The sequence below is a fragment of the Homo sapiens genome, chromosome 11 (genome assembly GCF_000001405.40).
Source record: "Homo sapiens chromosome 11, GRCh38.p14 Primary Assembly".
Taxonomy (NCBI): Eukaryota; Metazoa; Chordata; class Mammalia; order Primates; family Hominidae; genus Homo; species Homo sapiens.
Genome location: NC_000011.10, coordinates 36,271,546 through 36,291,239, shown reverse-complemented (window position 1 = coordinate 36,291,239; position 19,694 = coordinate 36,271,546). Strand labels below are relative to the sequence as shown.

The window sequence follows — 19,694 nt, the reverse complement described above, 5'->3', positions numbered from 1 at the left end:
CCAAGACTCCTGCCTTCTTAAGGCTCTACTGGGCCTAGACAATCTGCTTCTCAGGTCAGTAATGAAGTTGTTGGCCAGATGCTTCAGTTCCTTGTCACCTAGGCCTCTCTGTAGGACTGTTTACAACATGGCAGTTTGCTTTCCCCAGAGCAAAGGATTCAAGTGAAAGAGAGCAGGGCACATGAGAGAGCACCCAAGCCAGGAGACAGGAACTTCAGTCTTTTTGTTAGTTTTTTGGTGCAGTCTTGTATAACCTAATCTCAGAAGTGATATGCCATTCACACCCACCATTTGCTATTGGTCATGCATACCAATCCTGGTACATGGTGGGAGGTGTCTACACTAGGTTGTGAACACCAGGAGGCTGGGATCATTGAGGGCCATCTTGAAGGCTGGTGACCACACTCCTCATTACTCTAAAGTAAGACAAGAAGGCACAATCCTGCAAATACCAAGGCAATATCCTCAAATAAGTCACAAAATTTCATCTTAGTCTAATCACTTTTTTGGGTGGTTGTTTATTTAACAAATATTCAATTAACCCAAGACAATGGGCCCAGCCCTATAGATACAGGCAGGAGTTAAACCTAGAACCTACATTGAGTTATAACAGAAACCAGGAATCAGGCCATGAGGGTTCATGGAAAAGAGAGGCCAAGAAAGAGAGCTAGAATCAGGACCCTGTGACAAAATGGTTCTAAAATCTTCTAATCCAGGAATGGGTTCCTCCTTAGACAATTTGATTTTTGGTTTCCTGGGCCTTGACAACATCCCCACAGAAAATGGAGTCGGGGAAGGGGAAGGGGGAGGAGAGGAGACAAAGGAACAAATGTCCTTAGCAGCTTACCAATTTCTGGAATTTCACAAATGGGCATTCTTTCTTAAGCTCGAATATATCAGAACCCATTTTTTGAGCTGGAATTTGCTTAAAAAAAAGTGGAGGGTAGGAAAAGAAAAGAGCCACCCAAATACTAAAGGTAGATAAAGGAAATGTCTGTTTTGATGTACGGTCTCTGAGAACAGGGCAAATCAGAGTCCAGTACTGCCAGTGCAAAATCACTCTTTACAATTATATTCATTATAATTACCTTTTTGAATAAATGAACTAAATCATTTCCATTAACCTCCTCCCCCATCTCACCCCCGTATAACAAGAACCTAGCTAGGTAGTAGCTTTCATTCCATTCCTCTCTTGTCCCCTCTCCCAAACACTTCCTCACCTGCTCTTGTAATCAGATCTTCTCTATGACTATGGGAAAGTTACTAAAAACCCTAAATGATTATTTCCCAATCTGGATAATACTAATAATACCAGCTCCAACCTACTACATAGGCTGAAAAACTATATACGCAGAAGTAATTTTACATTCAAGACAGGATGTGTGCATGTGTGTGTGTCAATTCCAAGAAGCCCGATATGCACAGCCTCATTTTCATTCCAAACACTGGTACGCCGATCACTCCTGAACAACTACGTTTCCAAGGCGCCTGCCAAGCTTGCAGGTGCATTCCCCAAGTGCGCCAGCCCACCCACATGGGTCAAGGGAAAACCTGTTTCCCTGACTTGGTAAGTAGACAAGTCAAGCCAATTTCCTCCCCGAGTAAACCATCCTCCGCCCTGGTCCCCCTAGTCCTTTGGTTCTAGAGTCTCGGGGTTTAGTCATCCAGCCGCCGCGTCCGTCTTGATCCGCGCTCACTGCCGCAGCACCACAACCGAAACGCCTTCCCCCACTCTGAAGGACTACAGCCCCCGGCAGGCCCCGCGACAACAGCGACAGCCACGTGACCTCGCTTCCCTGGGTGCCACGGTCATGTGACTTCGGCAAGATGGCTGCCCTGACAGCGGAGCATTTTGCAGCACTCCAGAGCCTGCTCAAGGTAAGTCGAAGGGGTGGGGACAGCGTGAGGTGGCCCTTTGTCTCCGAGACTTTAGACGGAGCAGGAATTGGGAACAAATTGACCCTGGTTTGGAGCCACAACTCTGCTGCTTGTTCTCTGTGTGATCCCAGGCAAATCGTTGCGTCTTTCTGAGCTTTTAAAAAGTAAGAACAAAATATCGTTTTGACAGGAACGTAAGATAAAAAAAAATAAAATAATGGGCATGAAGGCGCAGTACAACCTCCTGCTATTAGTCTTTGGGATTGGTTTTCGGTATTGGTGCATTGAAGTGGTAATTGCTAGACCCACGTTGTCAGTTCCCCATTTCATCCCGTAGCCCCTCCTGCATTGCACAATTAAGAAATTATCTCCTACTGCGTCTGCCCAGCCCTCCGAATGACCTGTGCGTTCAATGTTCCCTTGAGGTCCAGATTTTCCCTACTCTCTTTGACCTGCGAAAGGGGCAGGACATACTCCTGATAATCATTTGAAAAGTTGTGAGGTTGAAAGGGACCTACTTCATAGGGCTTTGTAAAGCTCAAATGAAGTATTATTATTATTTGAGACGGAGTCTAGCTCTGTTGTCCAGGCTGGAGAGCAGTGGCGCAATCTCGGCTCACTGCAACCTCCGCCCCCCGAGTTCAAGCAATTCTATGCCTCAGCCTTCCGAGTAGCTGGGATTACAGGCGCCCGCCACCAAGCCTGGCAAATTTATGTATTTTTAGTAGAGACGGGGTTTCAACATCTTGGCCAGGCTGGTCTTGAACTCCTGACCGCGTGATCCACTCGCCTCCGCCTTCCAAAGTGTTGGGATTACAGGCGTGAGCCACCGCGCCTGGCCGGAATTATTTAACTTATGATTTGCCCTGTAGGAGAAAGGGCAGCTTTATTTTCCTTCGTAGAACTTGTCGCTAGCTATTTGCCCGTTGTCCGTCTGTCTCATAAGAATGTAAGATCCATCAGGGACCTTTCCTTTCTTCCTCTCTCTTTTTTTTTTTTTTTAAACACCAGGTGAAGAGGGTTGAGTTACTCTCCTCAATTTATGGCACATCATCATCATCGGTCCATGTAATAGTCTCTGTTTTGTTTTACTTATTTATTTTTTAATTGCCTTCTCAGTGTTCATTAGCATTCTCCACTCCTAAGGGGATCTACTCTTTTGTTCACAAGTGTTAATGCCCAATAAGTAGAACAATAATACCTGGCACACAGCACGTGCTCAGTAAATAGCTGTTAAATGAATTAATAAATGAAGTAACAGAGCTGGGACTGGCAATCTAGGGCTCTCAGCTCCCAACCCAGTGCCTTTTCACCTTCATTTTGGCTGCTCTGTACCTACCCCCGCCCCTATACCTGTTGGTCTTATGCACTCTTTTCTTTTAAAAACTTTAAAAGATTAGTGTGTAGTATACATACAGAAAAGTGCATAAACCATACATTTACAGTTAAATGATTTATTACACACCAATGTAACCACCACCAAAGTCAAAAAATGAAATGTTACCAGTACCCCAGAAGTCCCCCTTTCGCCCTTTCTTTGCTTCCTCACTTTCTTCCCCAATGGTAACCTCTATGTTTGCTTCTGATACAATTCATTTAATATTGCCCATGTTTGAACTTAACATAAATGGAATAATACAGCATATACTTTTTTTTTATGCCTGGCTTCTTTTGCTCACCATTATGTAGCAGTAGTTCATTGATTTTCATTGCTACTGTCCTGTGTACTTTCTTTTCTTTTTTTAAAAAAATACTTAGACTTTTTATTATGAGATAATTATAAATCCATATGTAGTTGTAAGAAATAATATAGAGAGATCCCATTTATCCTTTACTCAGTTTCCCTCAGTTCTGCAGGATTCTGCGGAACTATACATAATATAGTATATATACTATTATGTATAGTATGTATATAATATAGAGTATACATACTACACGATATACATAGTATGTAGTATACATACTACGCGATATACATAGTATGTAGTATACATACTACGCGATATACATAGTATGTAGTATACATACTACGCGATATACATAGTATGTAGTATACATACTACGCGATATACATAGTATGTAGTATACATACTACGCGATATACATAGTATGTAGTATACATACTACGCGATATACATAGTATGTAGTATACATACTACGCGATATACATAGTATGTAGTATACATACTACGCGATATACATAGTATGTAGTATACATACTACGCGATATACATAGTATGTAGTATACATACTACGCGATATACATAGTATGTAGTATACATACTACGCGATATACATAGTATGTAGTATACATATATAGCATACTTACTATTATGTATGGTTCTGCATAGGGGAAATTGGGTAAAGGATAAATGGATGTCAATACCTAATGTCAAAAGTATTGATATTGACAGTCAAAATACAAAACATTTCCACCACCACAAAGATTCCTCATGAATAGCCACACTCTCCTTAACCTTTGGCGTTATTCATTTCTCTAATTTTGTCATTTCAAGAATGCCGTATAAATGGAATAATACAGTAAGTAACCTTCTGAGATTGACTTTTTTCACTCAGCCTAATTTTCATCCATGTTGTGTGTATCAATAGTTCTTTCCTTTTTATTGCTGAGTGGTATTCCATGTAATGATTGTCCAACAGTGTTGTACTGTGTAGTTTTCAGCATGCACATCCTGTATTTCATTTTTTGAGCAATTGCAAATGGTTTTGGTTTTTTTTGGTTTGTTTGTTTGTTTGTTTGTTTTGAGAGAGTCTCGCTCTGTGGCCCAGGCTACAGTTCAGTGGCATGATCTCAGCTCACTGCAACTTCCACCTCCTGGGTTCAAGGGATTCTCATGCCTCAGTCTACCAAGTAGCTAGGACTACAGGTGCCCACCACCCCTCCAGGCTGATTTTTTTTTTCTTTTCTTTCTTTCTTTCTTTCTTTCTTTTTTTTTTTTTTTTTTGTATTTTTAGTAGAGACAGGGTTTCCCCACGTTGGCCAGGCTGGTCTTGAACTCCTGGCCACAAGTGATCCACCAGCCTTGGCCTCCCAAAGTGCTGGGATTATAGATGTGAGCCACCATGCCCAGCCCGTATTTTTAATTTTAGTGTCCACATGTTCATTGTTAATAAATAGAAATACAACTGATTTATGTATGTTTATCTTCTACATGCAAACTTGCTAAACTCATTGTTTCTAGGAGTTTTTGGTATATTTCTTGGAATGTTCTACATGGAAAATCATGTTATTTACAAATAGAGACAGTTTTATTTCTTCCTTTCTGATCTGCACACATTTTATTTCCTTTCCTTGCCTTATTTTAGTGGCTAGAATTTTCAGCACTGTGTTGATTCAGAGTGGAGAAAGCAGATATCTTGCCTTGTTCTCAGTTTTGGGGGCAAAGCATTCAGTCTTTCACCATTAAGTATAATGTTCACTGTAGGTTTTTTGTAGATACTGTTTATCAAGATAAGGAAGTTCTCTTCTATTCCTATTTTTCTCAGGGCTTTTATCAATAATGGATGTTTAATTTTATCAAATGCTTTCTCTGCATTGATTTATATCATGTGATTTTCTTTGTTAATGTGATGGATTACATAGATTTGCAAATACTGAACCAGCCTTGCATCTGTGGAATAAATCCCACCTGGTCATATTGTATAATTATATATAATTATATGTCTCTATTTGCTAATAAAATATTATACATATATATAACTGATCTCTATTTGCCATTATTTTCTAAGAATTTTCGCATCTATTTTTATGAGGGATATTGGTCTGTAGTTTTCTCATTTTTCTGTACAATTTTGTGCGGTTTTGGTATCAGGGTAATACTAGCTTTGTAGCTATATAAAATCATTTAGAGAGTACTCCATCATCTTCTGTTTTTCTAGTGGAGATTGTGTAGAATCAGTTCATTCTTTTTTTAAATGTTTGCTAGAATTCTCCAGTTAAACTATCTGGGTCTAGAGACTTTTTTAGGAGCCTTAAAATTGTGAATTTAATTTTCTTAATAGTCATAGGACTATTCAGATGATCAATTTCATATTAGGGGAGTGGAAGTAGTTTGTGTTATTTGAGGAATTGGCCCATTTTATTTAAATTATCAAATTTATGTTTATAGAATTTTTCATTAAGTTCCCATTATCCTTTTGATGTCTGCAGGATCTGTGATAATATCCTCTATTTCATTCCTAATACTGATAATTTGTGTCTCCCCTCTTAACTTTGTCTGTCTTGCTAAAGGTTTGTCGATTTTTATTGACATTGTCAAAGAACCAGCTGTTTCTTTCATCGATTTCTCTATTTTCAATTTCATTGGTTTCTGCTCTTATCATTGTTACTTCCACTGCTTCCTTTGGGTTTATTATGCTTTCCTGTTTATAGGTTCTTGAGGTGGGAGCTTAGATTATTGATTTGAGACTTTTCCTCTTTTCTAGTATATGCATTTAATACTATAAAATTTCATCTCACCACTTGCTAGGCTGTGTACCACAAATGTTGATATGGTGTGTTTTCATTTTCACTTATTCAGTGTAATTTTTAAAATATCCCTGAGACTTCCCATTTGACATATGGATTATTTAGAAGTGTACTGTTTAAGTTTATAAGTGTTCAGATATTTTTCTGTTACCTTTCTGCTATTGCTTTCTAGTTTGATTCCATTGTGGTCACATAGAACACACTCTTCATTACTTCACTTCTTTTGAATTTGATGAAGTTTGTTTTATGGCCCAGAATATGATATGTCTGGGTATGTGTTCAGTGGACACTTGAAATGAATTTGTATTCTGCTGTTACTGGGTATTGTTTCATGAATATTAATTTAATTGATTGATGGTATTGTTAGTTCCTTCTATATCCTTGTTGAATATCTGTTTAGTTATGTCAGTTGTTGAAAGAGGAGTGTTGAAGTCCTCAGCTGTATTTGTCATTTGGTCTGTTTCTTCTTACAGTTCTGATAGTTTTTGCTTCACATATTTTCCAATTCTGTTGTTGGGTACATACACATTTAGGACATCTTCCTGGTGGATAAAATCTTTCATTATTAATGTCCCTCTCTGTCTCTGGTAATTTTCTTTGCCAGTGAAGTTTACTTTATCTATTATTAATTTAGCCACTCTTACTTTCCTCTGATTAATGTTTGCATAATATATCTTTTTTCATTCTTTTACTTTCAACCTGCCTTATGTCTTATATTTGAAGGGAGATTTGTTGTTGTTGTTGTTGTTGTTGTTGTTGTTGTTGTTGAGACAGGGTCTCGCTCTGTCACCCAGGCTGGAGTGCAGTGGTGCAATCTCGGCTCACCGCAGCCTTTACTTCCCAGGCTTAAGCAATCTTCCCGCCTCAGCCTCCTGAGTAGCTGCTGCTACAGGCAAGTGCCACCATGCCTGGCTAATTTTTATATTTTTTTGTAGAGAAGAGATTTTACCATGTTGCCCAGCCTGGTCTTAAACGTTTGGGCTCAAGCTATCCACCTGCCGTGGCCTTGCAAAGTGGTGGGATTACAAGCCTGAGCCACCACGCCTGGCCAAGAGTTTCTTATAGATAGCATTTGAGTCATATTTTTAATCCACTCTGCCAATTTTTGTCTTTTAATTGGTACACTTAGACCATTTACATTTAGTATAATTATTTGTATGTTAGGGCGTTAAGTCTACTGTTTTATTTTTGTTTTCTGCCTGTTCTCTCTTGATTTTTCTTTCATTTTACTTTTTCCTGCCTTCCCATAGGTTAACATTTTTTTAGAATCCTATTTTGGTTTATCTGTAATGTTTTAAAGTGCATTTCTTTTTATAGCCTTTTTAGTGGTTGCCCTAATTACTACATTCTATATACGTAACTTATCACAGTCTATTGGTGTCATCATTTTACCAGTTAGGGCGAAGTATAGAAACTTTACGTCCCTTTATACCTCTTTATCTTCCCTCATTTATAATTGTCTTAAATATTTCCTCTATATACGTTTAGAGCCACATCAGATATATTATATTTTTTGCTTCAGCCTTCAAACATAATAGAAAACTCAAGAAAAGAAAGAGAGCCTACAGTATTTATCCATGTTTTTGTTTGCCCTGTTCTGTCTTCCTGATTGTGATGGTTTATTTTAGGTGTTGACTTGATTGAGGGATGCCTAGATGGTTGGTGAAGCGTTGTTTCTGAGTGTGTGAGGGTGTTGCCAGAGACAATTGATGTGTGAGTCAGTGGACAAAGACAGGAAGACCTGCCCTCAATGTGGGCAGGTACCATCCCATTGGCTGGGGACCCAACTGGGCCAAACAGGTGGAAGATGGGGGATTCCCTTTCTCTCTGTTCTCTCCCTTCCTTCTAAAGCAAGATGCCTTTTCTCCTCTTACCCTTGGACATCAGACTCTGGGTTCTTCATTTTTTGGACTCTGGGACTTGCACCAGTGGCCTCCCAGTGGCTCTCAGTCTTTTGGCCTCAAGCTAGGGGCTGTACCATCAGCTTCCCTGGTTCTGAGGTGTTGCCAGACTTTGACTGAGCCAAGCTGCCAGCTTCTCTGATCCTCCAGCTTGCAGACGGCCTATTGTGGGACTTTGCCTCTGTGATCATGTGACCCATTTCCCCCTAATAAATCCCCTCTTACATACCCTGTTGGTTTCGTCTCTCTGGAGAGCTCTGGCTAGTACACTGGTGTTCCATGGTTTCTTGTTTCATTGTTTCATATCTGTTTAGATAATTTATTTTAACCATTCTTTTACGGCAGGTCTTGTGACAGATATTCTTAGTTTTTCTTCAACTGAGAATGTCTCGATTTCTTCTTCATTCCTGAAGGATATTTTTGCTGGGTGTAGGATTCCAGGTTGACAGTTTTTTTTTCCCTTTCAGCACCTGAAAAATATTGTCACTTCTTTCTTGCTTCCATGGTTTTTGATATGAAATCTGCTTTCATTCTAATTGTTTTTTTTAAATAGGTAAGGTGTCATTTTTCTCTGCTTTAAATATTTTTTTCTTTGTCTTTCATTTTCGAAGTTCAATTATATGTCTGGGTATGAATTTCTTTGGATTTATCCTGTCTAGGGTTCACTCAGGTTCTTGAAATATATAGGAGTATGTCTCTAAGTAAACTTGAGAAGTTTTGAGCTATTATTTCTTTGAATATTCTTTCAGTCTTGCCCTCTTCTATCATCTCCTTCCAGGACTCCAATGATACAAATGTTAGGTTTTTCGTTATAGTCCCGCATGTCCCTGAGGCTCTGTTCATAGTTTTTTCTCTTTTTTCTGCTTTTCTGAGTGGGTAATTTCTACTTCTCTGTCTTCTGGTTCACTAATTCTTTCCTCTATTCTTTCCATTTTGGTGCTGAGCCCATCTACTGAGCTTTTTATTTTGGTTATTTTATTTTTCAGTTCTAAAATTTCCATTTTGTTGTTCTGTATATCTTCTATTTCTTGGCTGAGGAGGCGATTTTAAAAATTGTTTCAAGCGAGTTCATAATTATTTGTTGAAGCATATTTATCTGGCTACTTAAAATTCTTTGTCAGATAATTTTAACATCTGTCATCTTGGTGTTGACATCTATTGATTACCTTTTTTCATTCAGTTTGAGATCTTTCTGGTTCTTGGTTTAATGAATGATTTTCAGTGAAAACCTGGACATTTTCATATTATGTTCTGAGAATGGATTTTATTTAAATTTTATGTTTTAGCTGGCTTTCTGTGGCACTGCTTAGGCAGGGGAAGGGGGTGCCACCTCATTACTATCAGGTGGAAGTTGAAGTCCAGGTTCCCCACTTGGCATCTGTTGATACCTGAAAGCAGAGGTTCCTTGTTACCACTGGGTAAGGGTGGAATCTCTGACTCCACGTGGTCTCCACTGGTATCACAGAATGATGAGGCTTGTTACCAGCTGGTGGGGATAAAGGTCCCAGCTTCCTACTTGGCCTTCTCTGACACCTCCCCAGCAGGAATGTTGGGGTACCTCATTATAGCCTCACAAGTCTTCTTACTCAGGTCTAGGCCTCCCACTCAGCCTTTGTTGACATAGAGGTGGGTGGGGCTGCAGTTTTTCTATGATATTTGGCTGGAGTGTAGCAGTTGTCATCTAAAACTTTTCTGTCTTGCAAGGCTGCCTCTTTGTTGGTCCTTTAGCTAGACAGAAGAGCTATTTATTGTAGCGTTTTTCCCCCCTCTGCATCCATTGTCATTTCCTGTTGCCCTCTTCTTCAGCTGAAAGTCTGGGATATATGAAGCAAAAAAAATCCAGGGAACTCACCACTGTGTCATTCCTTGTATTATGAGGTCCCTAGCAGATCTGCCTCCTCTCCTGCTTCCAGAGTCTTATGTATGTTTTCTGTATATGTCCAAAGTTTTTGGTTGTACTTAGCAGCAAGATTAGGGAAAAGTACATCTATTTGATCTTCCTAGAATCCAAAGTCTTATGTACCTTTAAAATTTAAGTCTCAAAGGTATCATGTATGACAAAGACATTATTACTCAAAACATGTGTTTTCAGAGTCTGAGTTTTTTTTTTTCCTATCTGTGATTTAATTCATAGGCCTCCTCGAAAGATGTTGTCAGACAGCTGTGTCAAGAAAGCTTTTCCAGTTCAGCCCTTGGCTTGAAAAAACTCTTGGATGTTACATGTTCCAGCTTGTCTGTGACCCAGGAGGAGGCAGAGGAAGTAAGTGTGGTCAGAAATGATCTTTGGCCACTGGCCCTCTTATTAGTCTCTTTCTTGACTTCCCAGTCATTGCCATGTCCAAGGAAAATCCCTTGAAACATCTGTTGACACTGTAGCAAACTTTTATAAATGGGACATGAATGGGAGAACTGTACCCAGAATCAGAGCTCCTGACCATTTTCTTTCAGACCTATTACCTAGACAATGTGGAACAAAAGCCAACCTTTCTGTGATTTTCTTTTCCAACCTATAACTTGCTGATGCTCATAAATTGTTAGCTGGATAGCTTAGGGCAGACTTTTCAGGGATCTTTGAACAGAAGGTTTGAGGCCTGCATAAGATTCAGGAGTAGGCACTGCTAGATTCCATCAGGCTTCCTGAGGGGTGCTTTGTGTATCTCACTCCCTCCTCACCCCTCTGTCCCACAGAAGGTCCCCTTCTCCTCAGCTCACCTGATCTCAGCAGGTAGCCAAGAGGGAGATTAAGGTAACTTGTGGTAAGTTATTATGTAGCAGTGACAGCCTTATCTTTCCAAGGCAAATATGTTTTTAAAACAGCACTTTCTTCATCTAAATGGGCCTATGTTTTTGGATTTTTTTTATTTTTGAGACAGGGTCTCATTTTGTTACCCAGGCTGGAGGGCAGTGGCATGGACATGGCTCACTGCAGCCTCGATGCCCCAGGCTCAGGCAGTCCTCCCACCTCAGCTCCACGAGTAGCTGGGACTGCAAGCATATGCCACGATGCCTGGCTAATTTTTGTATTTTTTGTAGAGACAGGGTTTTGCCATGTTGCCCAGGCTGGTCTTGAACTCCTGAGCTCAAGCAATCCACCCACCTCAGCCTCCCAAAGTGCTGGGATTACAGGCATGAGCCACTGCACCTGGCCTATGTTTTTTGTTTTAATTCTGGACCTTGTTTATTGAAGTGAGCTGTAGAAAAGGAAAAGGAAAAAGCAAGATTTTGGAAGTGATTTGGAGACTTATTTTGGGTTCCCCCCCAAAGTAGATTATTTGGGAGATGATTCTAGAAAACACAAAGCAGTGGGGAAAATCAAACAGGGAAGGCAAGTCAATGAAAGAGGATGTTAAGAGCAATTACTGCTATGGAAAACTTGGGATCCTGTAAGAAACCAAGTAGAACACCTCTCAGAATTGTTCCCCGGGAGAACAGAGAGGCTTGGCCATTTATCCATGAACACCCACTCTCACTGGTGGAAGGTTAACTTCCCTTCACTTCCGGGTTGTGTCAGGTAATCTGCAGTGATATCAGAGAAAGCCCTAAAGCAGAGAAACAGTTACCTCCAGAGAGCTTTTTTAGGTTAGCTAAGTATTACTCTATTCACAAGACCACCATAAACCCCTCTTACACTTCAAAGTTACAGATTCACTTAGAAGGACCTAGGATGGGAACACAGCATTTTAGCAGGACGGGCAGACATGCCTCTTCCCAGGAGGAACCCGCACAGCCGGCCAGGAGCTGTTTGTTCTCTTTGCCCTCCTAGGCAACCAGTTGAGAGGAAAGGACATGAATCCTACCACCCTGGATTCAAGACCCTCACTCCACAGGAGCCGGTATCTTGTGTCACGGTTCAGTAAGCACAGCTTCAGGTTCTCGAAAGGAGCCTGTAGCCACACATAGGCAAGTCCAGAGCTACCGGCACCCCAGGTATTTATGCAGTCCTCTCAGTCCAGAGCCTTGGACCAATGCAGTGTTGCTTAGTAACACAGCTGACTTTGCACTGCTCTCAGGTTACCAGGGAAACAGCACCAGAAAGTTAACTGAAGGTCAGATTCTCATGCAGAAGGAAAAGGGCTATATTAACTCTTTGTCCACAAGTGGAGAGTTTCTGACAAGCTGTCAGCTTCCTAGGTCAGGGAGCTGCATCTGTCTTCTAAAGCAACAGGTGAACTCCGAGGCAGGCCAAGGCATGTGGGGCATGAGCATGTGCCACAGAGGCCTCTGGACTTGTGACTCAGTTGAATGACCATAGCAGTGTGCAGCCTTCGGGGTGTAGAGCCCTGCCCCTGGCCCTGCCTTGTGCCCCCTGCCTGCTGCTTCTGTTACAGCTACAGGTGGTTCCGTTTATCTTGCAGCTGCTCCAGGCTCTGCACCGCCTCACTAGGCTGGTGGCATTCCGTGACCTGTCCTCTGCCGAGGCAATTCTGGCTCTCTTTCCAGAAAATTTCCACCAAAACCTCAAAAACCTGCTGACAAAGATCATCCTAGAACATGTGTAAGTGCTCATTTCTTGAAAGTCCCTTCTAACTTTTACATTTCTTATTATTTTTATTCTCATTCTAGAAGTAGTAATATGCTCATTGTTGAAAACTTAGGAAGCCCGGATAAGCAAAAAGAAAATAAGACACCTGTAATTCCACCAGCCAGATGTTAGTGGTAGTCTTTTCTTAATGGAAAGCCTTTTAAAACATGTTTTTTTTTTCCTCTTTACACCTCTGTAAGAGGTTGATGTTTTGTTTTTGTTTTTACAAAATGGATCATGCTGTTTTGTAACTTGCTTATTTTCTGTTAACAGTATTAACGATAGTGAAATTTCACGTCAATGTTTACCTTCAATATCATTGTAATGGTTAAACATATCCTGTTATAGGAAGAAATGATGTATAATTTTAAAATTTCTTAGTGTTGGACACTGAGGCTGTTGGCATTTTTTCATTTCAGTGAACAATTTACAATGAAAACTTTGCTCCTGTGCTTAATTATTTTTTTACTGGGTTAAAGGTAATGGACATTTTGAGGGTTTGGCCTTAAATGTTCAAGTTGGCCATTAGAAATATTGCAGTATTTTTCCACAGTAGTAGGATACAAGTGTACCCCTCTCCCTACGCCTTCACTGAGGGGATTTTTTTCTTACATTTTTCCCAGTTCCACAATGGCAAATGGTACCTCATTTCAGTGTCCCTATCTTTGACACTAGTGATGTCAGATATCTTTTTCATATGTTTAATTGATCTTTTTTTTTCTTTTGTGAAGTATCTGTATATTTTCTTGGCTGGGAAGTTCCTTTTAAACACGTACATTTTAAGCAGAATTGATTAACTATTGGTTAGCAGAAGGCTTGAACAGACCTCTCTAATAGCAATAACTGATAATGCCTATTTACCAAGGGTTTTATTGTATTTTAAGAACTTTCTCATACATGATCACATTTTATTATGTTTGTTGTAGCATTAGTCAGGTCTGTTTGGATGTGTTTTTGCAGAAGATGCAATATTTGTGTATGCAGTAGGTGCTCAATAAAGAGAAGATAAGTTGACCTTTTTTTCTGTTTTGTCTTTGAACAAAAGCACAAAAGAACAATAGCACAATAAGATTACAATACATTGTATTTTCTTCTTTTTTGTCCTGAACTATGAAAACTGACAACACTTAGGGCCTTAACATCACTGAGCTTTGTAAAACAAATAAACAAAAGACTTTCTTGGAGGGAGGGGTTTCTGTGGTCCTTTCCTGTTAGCAGGTGATGACAGGTCTGAAGATCACAGGAAGGGCCAGTTCCCCTCTCTATCAGAAGAGTCAGTCTCATCCCCTTTCCATTATTTTTTCCTCATCTTTCCCTCTTAAACAGGTCTACTTGGAGAACCGAAGCCCAGGCAAATCAGAGTGAGTACCAATAAATCTGCCCCTCCCTTCTTACTTGTCTCCCCAGCCCCAGCTCTCAGTCTGCCAAGTGATCAGAGATTTTGGCAGAAACCAAAGTGAACCATTCTAGTCTCAACCCATACTCTGTGTATGGTGGGTTTTTTCCCTAATTCTACTTTTTAACTTTTTTCTGATTATAAACATTATTATATAGGCATGTTGTTAAAAAACAGAAATATCCAAAGCAGAAAGTGAAGTACTTAAAATAATGGTATTTCAATTGTGAAAAAAATTAACAATAATCAAAAATAGTTTGAAAGGCTGAATGAAAGTCCATGTTTAATAAATGGTCATTACAGTAACTCTGAGCCAGCCACAGTGCTGGAGCAGTTAATCTGCTCAAGTCATTTAGTCCTCCCTTCAGCCCTGTGAGCTAGGCTGATGAGCAAACAGAAGCTCAGAGGTTAGATAAGTGGTAGCACCTGTATTCAAGTCAAGTCCATTTATCTCTAAAACAAGAGCTCTTACCACTATTGCTGAAGCTACACATTTCCTAAGGCTCAGGCCATGATTTCTTCTCTGCTTTATGTCACTTCTCATTCTGCCCTAACATCTGGAGGGCTGGGTGTTCAGGTAGAAGCCTGGATACGCTGCCACTGTGAATTAGTACCAAGTGCAGGCAGCACAGAGCAATGGGTAAGGCACATGACTCGCTGTGGGTCTCGGGCTTTGTTTATCTGTCTTTCTCAGAGACTTGCTGCATAGACCAATGCATTGCATGTGTGCAGTCCTCAGAGCCGCCTGTCGTACAATAAATGCTTGGTAAACACGGGCGGCATGAGCATTGAGCTGAGCTGTTCCTTCCACAGTCTCTCTGCCACGCCTGGTCGATCTGGACTGGAGAGTGGATATCAAAACCTCCTCAGACAGCATCAGCCGCATGGCCGTCCCCACCTGCCTGCTCCAGATGAAGGTACATTCACTATCATGCCATTAGAAAGAAGAGGCAGCACCCCTATGGCCGTCTAAAACACTAGTCTCCAAGGTTTGGGATCTCTAACCCATATATTTTTTTAAATTACCATCCCCTTTATCCTCCTTTGTTTAGTTACAACGTGTATGTGTACTACTGCAGTAACATACTATGGACATATTAAAACAATAAAACAAATACAAAACATATTTTTAAAATAATTTGCTGATACCTAAAGGTAACCCTATACTCTTAGCAGTTTAGCTTTAACAATAGTAGTGTGCTTCCAGATTTTGAATAGCCTGCCCGATCATTTCAGTGTACTTCAGCAACTTCTTGTCCAGTGATTAGGCTGTCATTATTTGTAATGTGGCTGCTCAAGAGTTTCTACTAGTCGCTGGGAGCAGTGGCTTACGCCTGTAATCCCAGCACTTTGGGAGGCCGAGGTGGGTGGATCATGAGGTCAAGAGATCAAGACCATCCTTGCCAACATGGTGAAACCGCATCTCTACCAAAAATGCAAAAATAAGCCGGGCGTGGTGGCGGGCTCCTATAGTCCCAGCTACTCAGGAGGCTGAGGGAGGAGAATCGCTTGAACCAAGGAGGTGGAGATTGCAGTGAGCCGAGATCACACCACTGCACTCCCACCTGGTGAAAGAGTGAGACTCCGTCTCAAAAAAAAAAAAAAAAGTTTCTACTAGCAGCTGGAGAAGTGTCAGGTCTTCATTTTCTTGCTCACATACCTTTGCTTCATTGGTGTTGTCTTCATTTTATAGTTATTTTCAGGAATCTTTTTAAGCTACATATCCATATTGTAGTGTTTGTTTAGTTAAAACTAGAAATGTAATGCTGTATCTACATAACCAGACACCCAGAAAGTTACCACTTGTAAGAAAATGAAGAAGGGTGCCTCTAGCAATTAAGTTTTAAATATTAGTGAAGCTTAACTTCTTTATTTTTTAAAACTAAAGGTTGTAAGATTGTTCCTGCATCCCAATGCAGGATTGTCTGAAGTATCCAACAGAACCTGCTCCTTAAAGTACCAATGTAAACACACGTAATGTTTTCTTGCTTGAATGCTGAGAGTTAGGGTATCAGAGAGGTGAGTGAGCCTTGGCTTGGCCTTCTTTGATACCTACCCAAGGCACTTGTTGCAAATGGAGACTGACCCAGGCCTCTGAGGTATCTCCTGTACTCTCCCTTACTGCTAAATGACCCAAGGGCTGGTACTCTCTAGTGCTTAGGAAAGAGCCTCTCTTCAGAGGTTCAGCAGAACTGAGCTCAGCCTCGCAGGTTCAGGGCTCACTTACAGGGATATGGGAAAAGAGGCAGCTTTGACTTTCTGGGCTGTGTTCTCGTTTCAGATCCAAGAAGATCCCAGCCTATGCGGAGACAAACCCTCCATCTCAGCTGTCACCGTGGAGCTGAGCAAAGAAACACTGGACACCATGTTAGATGGCCTGGGCCGCATCCGAGACCAACTCTCTGCCGTGGCCAGTAAATGATCCAGCCAGCTGCCAGGGCCACTGCCATGACCCAGCTGCTCATGAGTGATAAATGTCTCCCCATATGCAGGCTGCCCTTGCAGCTGCAGCTGACAACAGGCAGGATGGTGGGGACAGCAGGGGGCTACTGCCATCCAGAAGTTACAGTTGGATTGGGAAGAAGCAGCCAGATCCCCCGCTGTTCTCACTCATCTTCTTTCTCTTTCTGAAGCTGGAGAGCAGAAGCCCCCATCTTTGAAAAGCTCCTGAGTGCAACTTAATTACCACCATGGCAGGGTGAGGGAACATTTGCATCGTCAGCTGCCTCTGCATAGCTGTTTGAGAAATTCAGGCCCAAATCATGCAGCCTATCCAATAAGTAAGTTTATTTCCAACATTAGCTCTAATTAGTTCATTTCCAATCCCAGAACACATGGAGGGAATCGGACAGGTGATGCCAGCAGTTCCTGCTCCTCTGTCAGGGAAGCCAGGCAGAGCCCACAGAGCATGGTCCATCCAGAGTGTTCCCTGAGCCCCCTCCACCATACTGGAACCCCTCTTCAGTGTAGGAAGTCTGAAATGGGTGCTAATTCCCTTCTTCATGAAACCAGGGCCCTCTTCCTTCATCTAATGCAGCCACTCCTAGGTGAAGAAGTGGGAATAATTGGAACTAAACAACAGTTCTAAAACTTCCATGATTTTTGTAGCTTCTTTTGTCCCCAAGTTGAAGCTTTTGGCCAGTACCTTCTCTAGTTTTTAAAGATGATCCCAACTTCCTAATTCCCAGCTAAGCCCTTGACCCATGGTGTGACATGAAATCAGGCAATTGAATCGCACCACTTTCTGTGTTTTCACCTGTTACGTAGAACAAAAGGAAGCAAGGTGGCCAGGCGCAATGGCTCACGCCTGTAATCCCAGCACTTTGGGAGGCCGAGGCAGGCAGATCATGAGGTCAGGAGATCGAGACCATGGTGAAACCCCATCTCTACTAAAAATACAAAAAATTAGCTGGGCGCGGTGGCGGGCATCTGTAGTCCCAGCTCCTCGGGAGGCTGAGGCAGGAGAATGGCGTGAACCTGGGAGGCAGAGCTTGCAGTGAGCCGAGATCGTGCCACTGCACTCCAGTCTGGGTGACAGAGAAGGACTCGTCTCAAAAAATAAAAATAAATAAAAAGGAAGCAAGGCTAATCATCAGTATGTGCTTGTTACAAGAGCTATGATGAAGGCACTCCTTCGAGTTTAACCAAATGAGATCATCTCTGTCATGTGCCTCACGCCTCACAGGGACTCCATGTGTGAAGATTCCCCCTTCACTCACCAGATCATCTCCATGGCAACAGCTTGCAGCCTGCTCTTGGAGTGCTTTGTTTTGGCAGCTTCTCTGCTAGTTTGTGTATGGAGTGAATGGAGGAGGTAAATCCACAGATTAAGAATATGCTGTCAGGAGTCAGGCAGCCAAGGTCAGAAGCCAGCTCTGCTTCTCAGTGGTAAGGTGCTTGACTTCTACATCTCAATTTTCACCCACTTTGTACTTTTTTCCTAAATTAAATGAGTATAATAGTAGTACCTACTTGATAGGACTTTTGTGAAAATTAAATGATATAATGCACCTAAAAACAGTACTGTTACAACTAATAGGAAAGGCTTTGATTATTAATGGATGAGAGTAGAAAGCTTGGTGCATTTATTGTCTCATCTACTATAACAGAGTTGGTGTGAGAATTAGTATTATCATCCTCCCTTTATTGACCAGGAAACCAGCTCATTGAGATTGAGTCATCTGCTGGTAAATGGTCTCATTAAGAGGTGGACCCATATTTCTCTAGCTTTCTCTTTACAACACAGGACTTTGCAAGGAACATATAATTCTGTGACTAGCGCCATTTGGAAAATGTTGAAACTGAAGTAGAGATGAGAGATCTTACGTCTGCCTACCCAGTGAGATACGAGGAAGGTCAAGGGAAAAAAAATTCCAAGCTCTTCTTTATCTGCTATAGGAAATGAACATTCAATTTTTTGCATGCAACGACAAGAGGTCAAGGACCCCAGAAGCCAGCCCGCTACTTCCAAGTTGAGAGCCCCTGGTCATACCCTCCAGTTGAGCTCAGATTTGTCACAAATTTACCCCTCTCCTTTCCTTCCATTCCCCATGACCTGCAGAGAGAGATGTCAGATACCTTCCTCTTGGCCTCCCATGGGCATCCATAAGAAACTTACTTGAAGCAAGAAGCCCAGTATAGGTGTCTGGGCAGTTGGACATTTCCTCTAGCCAGATCTGTCCGAATAGAGCCATCTGGGTACATGACGCAGAGGGCATTTGATAAATAACTGGAAAAGTCAATAAATCTTTGCTACCCTTCACCTCGTGATCATTTAAGGCATTTGTTTTCCTCTGTTAGTGATGATGGATTGTTTGTAGATACCGTATTTCTGGTTGGCCTGGCCCTATCTCAGAAGGGCCTCCTGGCTCTTATCTGTTGATCTCAAAGGAAGTTGGCTCATTCACTGCTTGTCTGGTTTCCCAGTAGTACTTTGTGTGATGAAGCAGCTGTATACAAACTGTCCTTCCTCAGGGTGTGGCAAGGTTTGGATGTCCAAACTCCATCCACAGAAGGACAATGATCCATCTCACTGGTGCCTGTGCTGGCTGCCCAACACATCCCACCCAGCCACCCACCAACAGGGGTCAGCATCTGCCTCAATCCTGATCAAATGCATGTGCCACAGCGATTGTCTCATGAATGTTCATGATTCCAATCAGCCAATCTGAGTCTGTCCCTGGGGCTTTCTCTGCTGTAATTTCTGAGACCACCTCCTGCCTCTAGGCTCTGACAGCCAGGCCAGTGATGATGAGGTCCATCTTCCTGCCACACCGAAAGCTCATCTGCAGTCGGAGAGGCCATCTAGACCCCAGAGGTTGGGAAGAAGATGAGAAAATCTTGGTACCTGATGCCATTCCCACTCTTCCTCCTTATGTATTCATCAGGACGGACCAGGCTTGTGTTAAGGTGTACCCGGGATTTGTTTTAATCAGGAATGGCAAGACTCACAGGCACAGAGGTGATTGTCATGAGGAAGAAGTCTGTGCTCACAGAACCCTAGAAACA

General features: G+C 41.7%; 1 protein-coding gene across 4 annotated transcripts, besides 3 other annotated features; it reads left to right on the top strand.

The window, feature by feature from the left end:
* Window positions 1,666-1,915: an enhancer, noted in NCBI's record as "active region_4631". NCBI's record gives its function as "activates an Ori minimal core promoter by ATAC-STARR-seq in GM12878 lymphoblastoid cells {active_cell/tissue: GM12878}" and the evidence as "EXISTENCE:reporter gene assay evidence [ECO:0000049][PMID:35858748]".
* Window positions 1,666-2,454: a biological region, named in NCBI's record as "H3K27ac-H3K4me1 hESC enhancer GRCh37_chr11:36310336-36311038".
* Window positions 1,752-2,454: an enhancer, noted in NCBI's record as "H3K27ac-H3K4me1 hESC enhancer chr11:36310336-36311038 (GRCh37/hg19 assembly coordinates)". NCBI's record gives its function as "activates a minimal SCP1, AML or CMV promoter by ChIP-STARR-seq in primed H9 embryonic stem cells {active_cell/tissue: H9 hESC(primed)}" and the evidence as "EXISTENCE:reporter gene assay evidence [ECO:0000049][PMID:30033119]".
* COMMD9 (COMM domain containing 9) lies at window positions 1,816-18,948 on the top strand. Of its 4 annotated transcripts, NM_001307937.2 has the most exons (7): window positions 1,816-1,878; window positions 4,395-4,419; window positions 10,403-10,528; window positions 12,624-12,763; window positions 14,117-14,151; window positions 15,000-15,103; window positions 16,468-18,948. In NM_001307937.2, the coding sequence occupies exons 2-7, from the start codon at window positions 4,396-4,398 to the stop codon at window positions 16,606-16,608; spliced, it is 570 nt and encodes a 189-aa protein (NP_001294866.1). In that variant the 5' UTR covers window positions 1,816-1,878; window position 4,395; the 3' UTR covers window positions 16,609-18,948. The 4 variants fall into 4 exon arrangements, with proteins under 4 accessions (NP_001294866.1, NP_054905.2, NP_001095123.1 ...); NM_014186.4 differs by lacking the exon at window positions 4,395-4,419; NM_001101653.2 differs by lacking the exons at window positions 4,395-4,419; window positions 10,403-10,528.
* The last annotated feature ends 746 nt before the right edge of the window (window positions 18,949-19,694 follow it).

Coding starts and splice junctions, on each gene's coding strand:
- COMMD9 (NM_014186.4), top strand. CDS start 1,828: ATGGCTGCCCTGACAGCGGAGCATTTTGCAGCACTCCAGAGCCTGCTC. Junction 1,879..10,402: donor CACTCCAGAGCCTGCTCAAG/GTAAGTCGAAGG, acceptor TTTAATTCATAG/GCCTCCTCGAAAGATGTTGT. Junction 14,152..14,999: donor CGAAGCCCAGGCAAATCAGA/GTGAGTACCAAT, acceptor TTCCTTCCACAG/TCTCTCTGCCACGCCTGGTC.